This window comes from Homo sapiens, chromosome 9 (genome assembly GCF_000001405.40).
Source record: "Homo sapiens chromosome 9, GRCh38.p14 Primary Assembly".
Taxonomy (NCBI): domain Eukaryota; kingdom Metazoa; phylum Chordata; class Mammalia; order Primates; family Hominidae; genus Homo; species Homo sapiens.
Genome location: NC_000009.12, coordinates 97,684,287 through 97,698,629, shown reverse-complemented (window position 1 = coordinate 97,698,629; position 14,343 = coordinate 97,684,287). Strand labels below are relative to the sequence as shown.

Below are 14,343 nucleotides of genomic sequence, written 5' to 3'. Positions count from 1 at the left end.
GTGTTGCCTCAGCTTGTCTTGAACTCATGACCTCAAGTCATCCTCCTGCCTTGGCCTCCCAAACTGTTGAGATTACAGGTGTGAACCACTGTGCCCAGCCTAGTTTTTAATTTTAATGAAGTCCAGCTTTTTTTCTTTTGTTGCTTGTGCTTTTGATGTTATGGAATTTGAAATAGTTTCACCTGGGCAAGATTGATGGGTAGGGAGAAAGAAGGATCTGAGGGGAAGGGAGATGGGGATGGCTTGAGATTCTATCTCCAATTCAACCTAAGATTTCAGCAGGTAACTGCTTTATACGAGGTTTTGCAGCTTTATGTATATATGACCGATAAATTAGAACACTGAATTGTGTTTCTGAAAGGTTAACCATTGAACATTAGTGGGAAACATCAGTGTGTGAGGTTGTCTTTCTAAAAGCCAGTCCTAAATGGTACATGTAGTAATTAGAAGTTAATGTTTTCTGGTTTCAATTAAGCATTATTTGTAACAAAGGGAAAGCATACATTTTTGGGAAAGCCTGCTATGTTTCTTTTGTTACACTAGCCACACTTTTGGGAAGTCAGGATATTTGGCCCAGATCCAAACCCACTGTCTACCTGGCAGTAGCTCATCCTCACTGAAGGAATATTCCATGGGAAAGATAGCCAACCTTATGCATATCAGCCTTGGAGCAAGTCCTGCATTTGCCTGAGGTCACACAGCAAGTTAACTGGGAGTTTCAACCCAGGTCTTCTCATTTTAAATCTAAGGCTGTGTCTCTAGGCCGTGTATCCAACATAAAATCAGGACTATCATCTGTTGGGCTCTATGACTGGCACTACTACTACTCACTGTTACCATTTTTTGAGGTCTTCTACGTGCCAGGTTATTGTCCTGGCAATCTAATCCTCCCAAAGACTCGGTAAATGGTTCCATAATTATCCTCATTTTACCACTGAAGAAACTGAACTCTGGTTAAATAACTTGCCCAAGGTCACACAGACTTTAACTGTCAAGAGCTCAGACTTAACCCAGGCCTGACTCCAAAGCCTATACTCTGAATCACCAAGCGAGACCTATTTTAAAGGTGACCAGGTCGTGAGATATGATCTCAGCACGGACCCTTCTCCCGGATGACAAGAGAGCAGGTAGTTAGGCGGGTACTCCGTGTCCGCGCATACCCAGACTCCGCCCAGCGCCCGGGCAGGCCACCCCGAGCCCCTTAACTGCGCAGGCGCTCTCACTCAGAAAGGCCGCTGGGTGCGGGGAGCGCAGAGGCGGTGCAGGGCGGCTGGCTCGCCTCGGCGTGCAGTGCGCGTGCGTGGAGCTGGGAGCTAGGTCCTCGGAGTGGGCCAGAGATGGCGGCGGCCGACGGGGCTTTGCCGGAGGCGGCGGCTTTAGAGCAACCCGCGGAGCTGCCTGCCTCGGTGCGGGCGAGTATCGAGCGGAAGCGGCAGCGGGCACTGATGCTGCGCCAGGCCCGGCTGGCTGCCCGGCCCTACTCGGCGACGGCGGCTGCGGCTACTGGAGGTTTGGGCCGCGTCCGCGCTTTCCCCTTCCCTCTCCCCGCCTCCCCGGTCCCCAGACTGGCTCGTGCAAGCCGAGTCCCGGGGCCCGGGGGTCGCGTCAACTCCGCTGGCGTATGTGTGCAGATTCTCCCCGAGTCGGAGAGGGAATCCGCCCAGCCAGCCGCCTTGTCAAAGCGTCCTGTCCACGACCACAGAGCGTTCCTCTGTCGCACGCGGGCCTCCTGACCCCCAGCCCCGGGCCTTCTTCGCTGCACCTCGGCTGCTGGCAGCTTCGATTTTTCGTTTAGGGATGCAGCCGCCCCGGCCGGGAGGTGTCAGCCACTGCCAGGTGTCAGGGCCTCAGCTGTCCCGGAAAGAGGAGTTAGACTAGTTCTTGATTCTGGCCTCTATACCTAGAACTAGTTGATGGAAGAGGCAGATCTTGGTGTTTGTTAGGGAGAGCTTTCAACAATTAGAGTTGCCAAAAGTGCAATGGATTGCTTCTCATGAGCTTCCCGTTACTAGAAGCGCTCAAATAGGAACTGGAAGAACGCTTACTTATGTGGAGGAGAGGAGATTCAGCAATCAGAATCTCCTACTCAGCAATCAGAAGAAGGGACTGGATAGTAAACCTTTAAGATTCTAATCCATAGATTCCATGAGTCTATTTCTTGGACATGTGACCTCTGCGATTTCTTGGCAAAAACTAGTTGCTCAAAACGTGTTTATTGATTGAAGTAAATTAAGGACTGATCTCTCATTGCAGATTATTCTCTTATAGAATTTGCCACTGGGGTCAACTAATAATCTTTAACAGGATACTTAAAATATAGTTTGGTTGACAGGCAGTTCTTCAGGGCTGCCTCTATAACATGAAGTACATGTGTTCCTAAAGCTCTATACTGCCCTTTGTCGAGCACAGTTTAGAGCTGTATTACTCTTTTTTATCAGCCAGATGTAGTGAGAGTGAGAAGAGTCTGAGGCTGGCAGCATGTCTTGATGTTCATACTAACACCGAAACTGCAAATTCCAGCTACTTTTGATGGTACTGGTCTCATCCTTTCTACTTTATAGTGGTTACCTTTTATTCCTTTCTAAACTTGAGGCACGCTAGAGTCAGACAGAAAGTTCATTTGCACTGATTAATTCATAGTCATGATTCCATAAAGGTTTCCAGGTCTACGACATGGCTGTGGAACGGAAGGTGCAAAATAGCAAAAACTGACATTAAATTAAACTTTTGATCATGGAAAGCAAGGTAGAATGAACATTCTTTAAGATTTCTTAGGCAGTTCCCCAAGAACTGAACTGTATTGTAGCATTGTGTACAACCCACCATGTTTCAAGAGTTAGGTAAGTGCTGAGATTTTTATCTTTGTGACACTTTTATTTCATGGTACTATACAATTTTCTTTTTCTCTGTGTGCCATGACATATGCCATGAAAGACTGAAAAAACTTGCTTAGAATACGAAGAGTGGTGCTAAGGTCCTGGGGAAACAGCAAGGCATAGCAGCAGAGAGAAATCGGACTTTGTTTTGGGCATGAGTTAGCATTGTTTAGGATCCTGCTCAAGTCATGGGCTCGACTACTCCAGCTTTCCCTCTTCTTAATTCTCATTGTGTTTACTGTCATTCCATTCATTTACTTTGCTATTTATATTACATATTCTGGTAGGTTCATTCATTTCTATCCATCCAGTTGGTACTCATGGAATGTTTACTATTTGTCAGAAGTATACAAGTAAAGGCACTCAGTCTAATGAAGGGATACAGAGAGATGAACAGGCATTATAGTGTGAGAATTGCTGTTAACAGTGGAAACAAGTTTATAATCTAATCCTTTCATTTAATAGAGGGAGAAATTGAGGCCAGAGAAGGGGAGTGACTGTAGCAGAATAAAACATATTAATCTGTCTTAATAAATGGAGGTGTAACATACTGTAAAATGTACTCATCTGAATTTTACCTATGTGAATGCTTGTGTAAACACCATCGTGATCAAGACATGTACACTTCCGGAACCTTAGAAGTTTTCCTATTGCGCCTTCCTAGTCGGTGTCCACTCTCTACTCTCAGAAGTAATACTCTTCTGACCATTTGATTGGTATTACCTATTTCCAAACTTCATGTACATTGAGTCATACAGTATCTGGCTTTTTTTGCGCAACATAGTATCTGAGAGATTCACACATTTTGTTGCGTGCATTGGTAGTTTGTGCATTTAGATGTTGTATAGATTCTTTTGTATTATGCCACAATTTTTTCCATTTTCCTTTTGGTGGCTATTTGGGTTGTTTCCACTTTGGGGCTGTTACGAATGAAACCTCTGTACACATTCTTTTTTATGTATTTTAGTGGACATACACACTCACTTCTCTTGTGTATATGCCTGGAGATGGAATTGCTGGGTCATAGGAGAGGTGTAGTTATGTTAAGCTTTAGTAGATATTGCCAAACGGTGATTATATCAGTTTCCAATCTCACCAGCAAAATGGCAGTTCTGGTTGTTCCACATCCTCACACTTGGTATTGTCAGTCTTTTTCATTTTAGACATTCTGGTGAGAGTCTAATGATACTTCATTATGGTTTTAATTTGTATTTTCCTAATGATTAGAGATAATGAGAACCTTTTCATGTGCTTTTTGGCCGTTTGGATATCCTCATTTGTGAAGTGCCTGTTCAAATCTTTTGCCTGTTTTTAAAAGTTGGGTTGTCTTTTACTGACTTAGAGGATTTTATTATGTATTCTGAATGTGAGTCCTTTGTCAGATATGCATACGTTAGACCTCCCTTTTCCAAGGTTTCACTTTCTGTGGCTTTAGTTACCCACAATCAACCATGGCCCAAAATATGAAATGGAAATTTCCGGGTGCACACGTGCGCACGCACACACACACAACGCACCCCACTGCTGGAGTTCTAGCTGAGATCACCTTGCATCTTTAGATAAATTTGTGAAGAATTGACGTTTTTATAATATTGAGGCTTAAAATCCATACACAGTATATTTCTCCATTTAAGTCCTTTTTGATTTCTCTTAGTGTTTTGTAGTTTTCAGGGCAGAGGTTGTACACATCTCTTCCTAGGTTGTTATTTCTTAATTCTAATTGTAGATTCTTGTGGATATTTTACACACATAATTACATCATCTGTGAATAGATGCTGTTTTACTTCTTTCTTTTCATCCTTTATGCCTTTTTGGTTTTCTTGCTCTGTTAGACTAGCTGGGACCTTCAGTATAATGTTGAATAGAAGTAGTGATTGTGGACATCCTTGTGTTGTTTGAGATATATTGAATTCAAAGGAATTTTCTATTTATGAACAAGGTAACATACAGGCTTACCTACTTCAATTGTTGACTGCTTTTACTTACTTTTGTAGGCATGGCTAATGTAAAAGCAGCCCCAAAGATAATTGACACAGGAGGAGGCTTCATTTTAGAAGAGGAAGAAGAAGAAGAACAGAAAATTGGAAAAGTTGTTCATCAACCAGGTAAAGTGAGTTTTTCAAAAATAAGTATCTAGATTGGTTATTTTGAGTAACATGCATAATTCTATGCAAAGTGATGCTAAATAATGCCATAACTACTTTAATCAGTGAGTACATTATCTTTATAAAAGTGATAAAGTTTGGCAGTTTTGCTAGTAGATTAAAAAAACAATCAAAGAAACAGCCATGCATATGGAAATGATTATTTAACTTGTGGCTGATGTACTTAGGGGTTGCTGCTCTCTGTTGTTTTATAATAGGCAGGGTTAGCCAGTATATTGATTGGTAGAATAAATACTCAAAATTATCTTGATAGGCTGAAATGAGGCACCAGAATCCAAGAGATAACATTTAGGACATTCTTTTATTTATCTGTGGAGAAAGAAAGCAGCTTACAAAGTATAAGATAGACCAGCATAAAAAGAAGGATGTAACTATGATCTAAGGTTAGTGCTTTGGTAAATCACTTATATGTACACATATCTTCACAGTGAGGGTACTTTCACACTCTTTGGGAAAAAGATAGAAACACTTTATTTGTTCATAAGTTTGGCAGCCAACAGTGCAATATAACAGCTTTTTATTAAAAAAAAAAAAAAAAGACCTATTCCAGTCTTTAGTTGCAGCTACAGAAGTGTTGTGCATTCATCAATGTAGGTGGTTGCTCTGCTTTGATCTATGTGTGTCTATATTGTTGTTTGCAGAAGCTGAGACTTGAAGGATTAAAATATTTGTTTTTATTTGCATCAGGGACTGGTTTTGTGGAAGACAAAACCCAGGGTGGGGTTGGGGGGTGGCTGGGGATGGTTTCAGGATGATTCAAGCATATTACATTTTATTGTGTACTTTATTTCCATTATTATTACATTGTAATATATAATGAAATAATTACACAACTCTTGCTTATGGTAGACTGCCAGTTTCTGAGTGGTAAATGTAAAAGGGAGTGACAGTTTGAAAATTATCATTGTGTTTATTTAGGAATTCCCATTATAAAGAATATTTTAAATTAGAAAACTGCACATTTTAAATGTTTTGATTAATAATGCTATGTAATAGCTTCCTAATTGGTATTTCTACCACACTTTCTCTTCATTCTAATGCATCCTGGTAAATTTTTCAAAGATACCACTTTGACTATCACTAGCCTTGTTCCAAAGTTTTTAGTTTTCCTTTTGTCTATAGATATGCTTCTCTAATATTCTACAAAAAAAGCATGATTTTTTTGTTTGTTTGTTTTCTTAAAGTTTGGAGATTAGTGTGTTATAATGAAGGAGGTAAGGGAAGGCAGTGATAGGAATATTTTGAAACAAACAATTAATGACATAATGACAATTCCCCTTTTCTTTTTTTTTTCTTTGAGACAGAGTTTCACTCTCGTTGCCCAGGCTGGAGTGTAATGGTGCGATCTCAGCTCACCGCAACCTCTGCCTCCTGGGTTCAAGCGATTCTCCTGCCTCAGCCTCCCGAGTAGCTGGGATTATAGGCATGCACCACCAGGCCCAGCTAATTTTGTACTTTTAGTAGAGACGGGGTTTCTCCATGTTGGTCAGCTGGTCTTGAGCACCCAATCTCAGGTGATCCACCCTCCTCGGCCTCCCAAAGTGCTGGGATTACAGGCGTGAGCCACTGCACCTGGCCGACAACTCCTTTTTTCTTCTTGTTGGAAATTGTGGCAGTTCTGAGAGTTGGAGCATTCAGCCTAAAGACTTCTTAGTAAAATTTATTTATTTACATATATATATATATATATATATATATATATTTATTTAGAAAGAGCCTTGCTCTGTCGCCAGCCTGGAGTGCAGTGGCATGATCTTGGCTTACTGCAACCTCCACCTCCTGGGTTCAAGCGATTCTCTTACCTCAGCCTCCCAAGTAGCTGGGACTACAGGCACACACTACCATGCCTGGCTAATTTTTTTTGTTTTTGTTTTTGAGACGGAGTTTCACTCTTGTTGCCCAGGCTGGAATGCAGTGGGGCAATCTTGGCTTGCTGCAACCTCCACCTCATGGGCACAAGCGATTCTCCTGCCCAGCCTCCAGAGTAGCTGGAATTACAGGTGCCCGTCACCCAGCTAATTGACACCTGGCTAATTTTTGGATTTTTTTTGTAGAGACAGGGCTTTGCCATGTTGACCAGGCTGGTGTCGAACTCCTGGACTCAAGTGATCCACCCACCTTGGCCTCCCAAAGTGCTGGGATTATAGGTGTGAGCCACTGTGCCAGCCTTACTAGTAAAATTTAAAGACTTGCTGGGAGAAACAGTTCTTACAGGATTAAGTTCCTTAGCTAGGCATTTGAAGTCCTTAAATAATCTAGCTTTACCTTACCTAGAGTGGTTTTTCTGTGCTGGGAGTTGAGGATACATGGCTGAATACAGCCTCTCCCCTTAAAGAGTTTATAATCCACAAGGTGAGACAGTTGAAGAAGCTATTTGCTTTGTTGGTAGGGGATAGAATGGAGGGAGACAAAATTTTTTTCCATTTGGAAGTGAATTCTGTTGTTGTCTCTCTTCTATTACCATGCTGTTTATTGCTTTTTCTTGTGCAATGTTGGTGCCCTGTCTGTAAGCAGATCCCTTTTTGCCCTACCACTCTGGGACTAATCTCTTTTGTACTTTCAGCAGTGCTGTGGTGGGCAGAATAATGGCCCCCAAAGATGTCCATGCCTTAATCACCCTGGAACCTGTGAATATATTATCCTTATCATAGCAAAAAGGACTTTGCAGATATGATTAAGGTTAAAGACCTTGACATAGGGAGAATATCCTGGGTTATTCAGGTAGACCCAATGTAAGCACACAGGTTTCCTTAAAAGTGGAAGAGGGGCCGGGCACGGTGGCTCACGCCTGTAATCCCAGCACTCTGGGAGGCCAAGGCAGGTGGATCACCTGCGGTCAGGAGTTCAAGACCAACCTGGCCAACATGGCAAAACTCTGTCTCTACTAAAAATACAAAAATTAGGGCTGGGTACAGTGGCTCATGCCTGTAATCCCAGCACTTTGGGAGGCTGAGGTGGGTGGATCACGAGGTTAGGAGATCGAGACCAGCCTGGCCAACATGGTAAAACCCCATCTCTACTAAAAATACAAGAATTAACTGGGCATGGTGGTGCGTGCCTGTAATCCCAGCTACTTGGGAGGCTGAGGCAGGAGAATCGCTTGAACCCAGGAGGTGAAGGTTGCAGTGAGCTGAGATTGCACCACTGCACTAAAACCTGAGCAACAGAGCGAGATTCCATCTCAAAAAACAAAACAAAACAAAAACAAAAATTATCCGGGCATGGTGGCTTGCACCTGTAATCCCAGCTACTTGGGAGGCTAAGGCAGGAGAATCGCTTGAACCCGAGAGGTGGAGGTTACACTGAGCTGAGATCGTGCCACTGCACTCCAGCCTGGGTGGCAGAGCAAGACTCCATTTCAAAAAAACAAAAAAAGTAGAAGAGGAAAGCCAAGAGTCAGAGGGACATGTGATTATGGAAGAAGTGGGTGATGCCGTGTGAGAAGCCACCATTGCTGGCTATGAAGATGGAGGAAGGGGTCATGAGTCAAGGAATGCAGGCAGCCTATAGAAGCTGGAAAAGGCAAGGAGATGGATTCTTGCCTAGAGCCTCCAGAAAGGAACACAGCCCTGCCAACACCTTGATTTTAGCCTGCTGAGACCCATGTCAGAATAAACTAGAGATCCGTGTGATAATAAATGTGTGTTGTTTTAAGTCACTCTGTCTGTGGTAGTTTCTTATAACTAATGTAGCACTAATACAAGTACCTTGTACATGGCTGGGATTCAGAAATATTTGTGGAATTGCTACGTTTTTTTCTTTATGTTACTTCCTTTTCTTTTTTCCTCTTTAATTTTTTTTTTTAGATAAACATAAGGTCTTATTTTGTCTTTTACTTAAATGTATTTATGTCAGGCATTGCATACATGCTGATAAGCTAATAAAATAGAGGAAAATATATTGTTCTAGTCATAAAAAAGGAAACTAGAGTTCATTTTCCTTTTCTTAGGACCTGTTATGGAATTTGATTATGTAATATGCGAAGAATGTGGGAAAGAATTTATGGATTCTTATCTTATGAACCACTTTGATTTGCCAACTTGTGATAACTGCAGGTACTTATTTTAGATGGTGTTCTTAATTGCTAATGTTTATGTGTAGGTTTAGGGCAAAACAAGTTATATCTGTTTGGATTTGATATTTTCTTAGTAATTATGAATTTCATTTTGGGTGTTTCCTAAAATTTCTATGGTTTCTATTTTGCCAAATACTGTAAATCTGTGCTTATTAAAGCTTATGATATACCCCATAAAATAGGAAGGATGCCGATGGTTCTGCCATAGAAATTTCCTTTTCTTTTTCTGCTGGCCTGAGTTTTTTTTTGTTTTTGTTTTTTAACGTCTCTCAGTAGTAGGCTGCTAACCCTTCTCTTCACCCAGCCCTAATGATCCCTCTATTTCTTAATTATTCCAGGGTGTGTTACATCTTGGTCAGAGGAGTGGGGCCTTCAGTGAAAGGACAGTAGCTCCGAATACCTTTTTCATTCATCTTTTGCTACCCTCATAGAGAGAATAGATGAGGAAGAACTATATTCTTCCATTCTTTTTCTTCTTCTAGACTTTATCCTTTTTTTTTATATCACCCAGAATAACCTTTCTCACTTCACGTGGTTCTCCTATCACTACTGTTTACTCAGCCAAATGCTGTGTTGATATCTTTTGCACATTGAAGGTCTTATCTTGGAATCTTAGTTGGCCCTCTTACCTGTTCCCTGTGCTTACTTTGTCCCTACAGTCCTAAATCAACTCCTCACCTGCCTGAAGGACCTGCCCTTTCAGAGTCCCTGCTGCAGACATTGGGAGCCATCATGATTGGCTTGTTGCTGAGCAGAATCCTTGGTAGATAGAGAGGGAGATGTGGTCCCTGGTCTCATGATCAGATACATGGCTGGGAATGCTCTGGCACCACAGCTGGAACTATAGATTACAAACTCATTTCCCACCGACACAGTGGTTAAAGTCCACAGTATTGTCGTCATTCTTAAAGGCCAGTATAGCTTTTGGGAACTGAAACACTACATAGAATTTTATTTCCAAGAGAAAATGGAAGCAACTCTTGTACCAGTTTAAAGAAAGTTGTGAATATATTACCTTGCCATAGCAAAAGGACTTTGCAGATATGATTAAGGTTAAAGACCTCGAGATGGGGAGATTATCCTGGGTTATCCAGGTAGACCGAATACAAGCACATGAGCTTTCTTAGAAGTGGAAGAGGAAAGCTGAGAGTCAGAGGGACATGCGATTAGTGAAGAAGTGAGTGATGCAATGTGAGAAGCCATCATCACTGCCTGTCAAAGTGGAAGGAGGGGGTCGTGTTCAGGAATGCAGGTGGCCTCTAGAAGCTAGAAAAGGCAAGGAGATGGATTCTTACCTAGTGCCTCCAGAAAGGAACGTGGTCCTGCCAACACCTTGAAAAGTCTGGAAACATTACACTTTTATATTTAATCATAATCAGGAACACAGTCCTCCATTCTTTTTCAACATCATCAAAGATGATAGTTTTAGTACCATATAGTCTACATGTCTCCTGTTAGTTTATACTTCTGAATTATTTAGCTTTTGTATAGCTCTTCCCAGTTTTAACTTTTATGTTTTTGTGATAGAATCCTCTGATAGAACCTTTGATTTCTCCCCTCCCTGATCTGTACCTGCTCTTTAGTGTTTACCATTTCAGTAAAGCCAGCTTCATTCGCTGGCTATGTCTCCACTCTCCTGTGTGTATTAATTCCAAACCTGTTTGGCTCTAGGTTCACCATATCCTGAATTCATCGGCATCTCATCCTCTCCCACTGCTGCCTTAGTCTAGGCCACCATCAGCTCTTGCCTGGACCACCGCAGTAGTGTTCTAACTGGTCTCTCCCCCATTACCCCTTTCGCACCCCTAGGGTCTCCTTTTCATATAGTATTTTGCTCAAAACCTTCTAGTGGTTTCTAACCATTGTCTTCACCATTGCTTGCAAGGTCCTGACTGTCTCTGACTGTATCTCCCACCACTCCTCACCATCGCTTACTTCAGGTCTTCTAGTTACACTGGTCCTCTTGCTGTAAGCTCTCTTTGCAAAATACACCCCTGCCCTAGAGCCTTTTCCCTTGCTGTTCCCTTTGCTAGGAATGTTTTTTTCTCTAGATAATGTAACTTACCAGAATAAGTAAAAGATAAAGTATTTTTCTGTTAGAATTCTTATGTTGCTAATTTAACCATGAGAGTTGCAGGAAAAAGTATTTTATATGTCCTTTTTGCTGTGTGTGCCCCTAAGTTGCTGGGCTATTTGCAAACTTAGCTTATTTAAAATAACTAATTTATATAATGGACTTAATCTGTTTTCAGAGATGCTGATGATAAACACAAGCTTATAACCAAAACAGAGGCAAAACAAGAATATCTTCTGAAAGACTGTGATTTAGAAAAAAGAGAGCCACCTCTTAAATTTATTGTGAAGAAGAATCCACATCATTCACAATGGGGTGATATGAAACTCTACTTAAAGTTACAGGTCTCTAATAAGTTGTATTTATTATTTTTCACTCTGGTAAATTCTTAATAACAAACTAGTCATAATTGGTTTGGCTTTTGCTTACAGAGTGTGGAAAAACTCTTTTCCCTAGTTTTGCATATGCTTCACAGTCATGTATAATGACATTTAATAACATGTTTTCTCATTTTGCTTTTTTCTTTTCTTTTTTCAAACAATAAGGTCTCACTCTGTCACTCAGGCTGGAGTGCAGTGGTGAGATCATGGCTCACTGCAGCCTTGACCTCCCGGGCTCAGGTAATCCTTCCACCTCAGCCTTCTGAGTAGCACCTGGCTAGTTTTTTGTATTTTTTGTAGAGATGGGGTTTTACCATATTGCCCAGGCTGGTCTCGAACTCCAGGGCTCAAGTGATCCTCCTGCTTTGGCCTCGCAAAGTGCTGGGATTACAGGCATGAGCCGCCACGCCTGGCCTCATTTTGCTTCTAATATGGCACTTTGAAAGAAACCTGTTGCTATTGGGTGATGTTAAGAGTACAATTTGGAAACTAAAAAAGGTTGGAATGGGAGTCAGGCCCTGTTTCCTTACCCTCTTTCACCTCCATCTCCCACCAAAAAAGAAATATTTTAAAAAAAGAAAAATTTCAAGAATTTCATAAATACCTAAAATCTAACTCTACCCATCTGGAATGCTAGCGAGTGTCCATATAGCTCTATAATCTCAGAGCAGATCGTCTCAACTCCACTTGCTGCAGATGGGTTATAGGTGTGCCAAGACGGTGATCCACTTAGTGGCTAGGACTGCTAGTGCCCAGGCCAGTTTCTTTGAGTCACAAGCAGCCTCTTGTATCTACCTCAGAGTGGTACAAATATTGTAATATTCTTTTTGTGCTGTTAGCTTAAAATATTGGGAGGCATTGCTTTAGAGCACAGTTTGAATATATACTATACTAGAAAATCCCATATCTCCAAATAAAATTAAGAAGCCATATTGTAAAACAAAACGTGTACTGAATTTCATTAAATACTAAGATTCTGTTGATTAGAACATTCACTATTGTTTTATGTACCATTAAATATTTTTAAATGCCGCTGATTAAAATCAACATATGCTTTCTTATCACTTGATGCTTTTTATACTTGGTGAAATAGTGCCATTAGACTTTATTATAGTTTGTCATATATCACGACTTTTGCACACATAAAAGGGAAAATGCAAGTGCAAAAGACTTATGAAGGTATTCCTAAACTTTACATTCAGAGTCCAATTCTTCTGCACCACTTTTTGACTCACAGTTGTTAAAGTACCATTAAGTGCATTGGTGATGCAGCATTTTCAGGGATGTTAAATTGCGGAAAACGTGATGTCTCAGAATATACGAAATATGAGTGTATCACTTGATTATGTTAAATTTGAGTTTGGCTATGCTGATTAATATTATGGTCCTTTTAACATATTGTGAGAGGTATCCTGAGCATAATTCTTAGTGTGTAAATTCTCTTAAAATCTAAGTAAATACTATAAAGAGTAAAGGTATATAATGTAAAGTTTTAAAAGTAGAATGAAGACTTTTTACATCATCTTGGTACCAAAATTAAAAAAAAATATATCCTGCAGATCAGAAGTCAAGTCGATAGAGACAATTATTGATCTTGAAGGAGATGAGTAGTAGTAATTGGTAATTTCCTGCGGTTGGAGATTTTTGGAGATGACCTCATATTTAGGTCTGATGTGGCTAATCTGTCAACAAACTGTTTCTTTGGTGAGCCCACCACAGTTGATCAAACTCACTGACCACGTGTACTTTTGATTCCTGTGACAATACAGTCAGAGGACAACTTTTCTATTTATAATCTAATTCAGCATACGTTTACTGACAGTTTCATAGGTTTAGATAGATGTTTTATTAGAGTTGTTTCTGATCATTAATATTTAAAATCTTTAAATTTCTAATAAGTATTTATAAATTTATACTTGAGTTAGATCATTCTTTGGTACCTTTGGATTTGACAGTTATAACTATAATATTTCGCAAGTCTGAATCACAACTTATTTAAATATGGATTTTGTGTTGTAGATTGTGAAGAGGTCTCTTGAAGTTTGGGGTAGTCAAGAAGCATTAGAAGAAGCAAAGGAAGTCCGACAGGAAAACCGAGAAAAAATGAAACAGAAGAAATTTGATAAAAAAGTAAAAGGTAGATGGCCACATTTTATATCGTGAAGGATTGTGTTTTACCATTTTGCAAAAAGCCTTTAGCTAGATTCTTCCTGTTTAATGTCACCAATAGATTGGAATGTGTTTTTTAGAGGTTGAAAAAAATGACTTACAGTTTGCCCTCAGTATGTTGGTCTTCAAGGCACTAAGCTCAAACCTCACAGTACGACATTTCTGAAAAGCATGTACGTCATCATCTTAAAGTGAATCATGTTTTTATATAGGAACAATGTGAGGATCAGGAGTGGTATCACTGGTCAAGGATTTGGCATCAATTAAATCTTAAGTATGATCAACAGGTGTGTTATAAAAAACACACCTACCAACAATCCCCTCTAATTGCTTAAAATGAAAAGCCATGCCCTAAGTCTTAGTCATCTAATTCAGCAGCTAGAAGGAACTTTTATTTTATATATGACCAAAAGACCCAGAAAGGTGGAGTGACTTGTTATGTAGATAGTTATTGGCAGAGTTGGGACTGGAAGCAGGGTTTTTTGACTGAAAGTCTCCATGAAGTAGTCATTTCTCTATCCATGCATCTGTCTTTGCATGCATTCCCTTGTCCATCTATCGCTGCATTAATTTGTCCCTGTTATCCATCCAGGTATGTATGTCT

At 40.5% G+C, this 14,343-nt stretch overlaps 1 protein-coding gene across 8 annotated transcripts in view, besides 3 other annotated features; it reads left to right on the top strand.

Annotated features, from left to right (window-relative positions):
- Positions 1,129-1,228: a silencer, noted in NCBI's record as "silent region_20102". NCBI's record gives its function as "represses an Ori minimal core promoter by ATAC-STARR-seq in GM12878 lymphoblastoid cells {active_cell/tissue: GM12878}" and the evidence as "EXISTENCE:reporter gene assay evidence [ECO:0000049][PMID:35858748]".
- XPA (XPA, DNA damage recognition and repair factor) overlaps positions 1,290-14,343 on the top strand; it is a 42,943-nt gene continuing 29,889 nt past the window's right edge. For 4 of the 8 annotated variants that reach the window (NR_027302.2, NR_149093.2, XM_006717278.2 and 1 more), the window contains exons 1-5: positions 1,290-1,509; positions 4,871-4,981; positions 8,991-9,096; positions 11,369-11,534; positions 13,590-13,707. Coding sequence is in view for 3 of the 8 variants with exons in the window: in XM_006717278.2 (XP_006717341.1) it covers positions 1,338-1,509; positions 4,871-4,981; positions 8,991-9,096; positions 11,369-11,534; positions 13,590-13,707 (673 nt within the window). In the remaining 5 variants the exon portion in view is untranslated. Of the gene's footprint in view, positions 2,533-4,870; positions 4,982-8,990; positions 9,097-11,368; positions 11,535-13,589; positions 13,708-14,343 lie in introns of all 8 variants that reach the window. The other 4 variants (NR_149092.2, NR_149094.2, NM_001354975.2 and 1 more) reach the window with 3 other exon arrangements.
- Positions 1,779-1,828: an enhancer, noted in NCBI's record as "active region_28676". NCBI's record gives its function as "activates an Ori minimal core promoter by ATAC-STARR-seq in GM12878 lymphoblastoid cells {active_cell/tissue: GM12878}" and the evidence as "EXISTENCE:reporter gene assay evidence [ECO:0000049][PMID:35858748]".
- Positions 1,839-1,898: an enhancer, noted in NCBI's record as "active region_28675". NCBI's record gives its function as "activates an Ori minimal core promoter by ATAC-STARR-seq in GM12878 lymphoblastoid cells {active_cell/tissue: GM12878}" and the evidence as "EXISTENCE:reporter gene assay evidence [ECO:0000049][PMID:35858748]".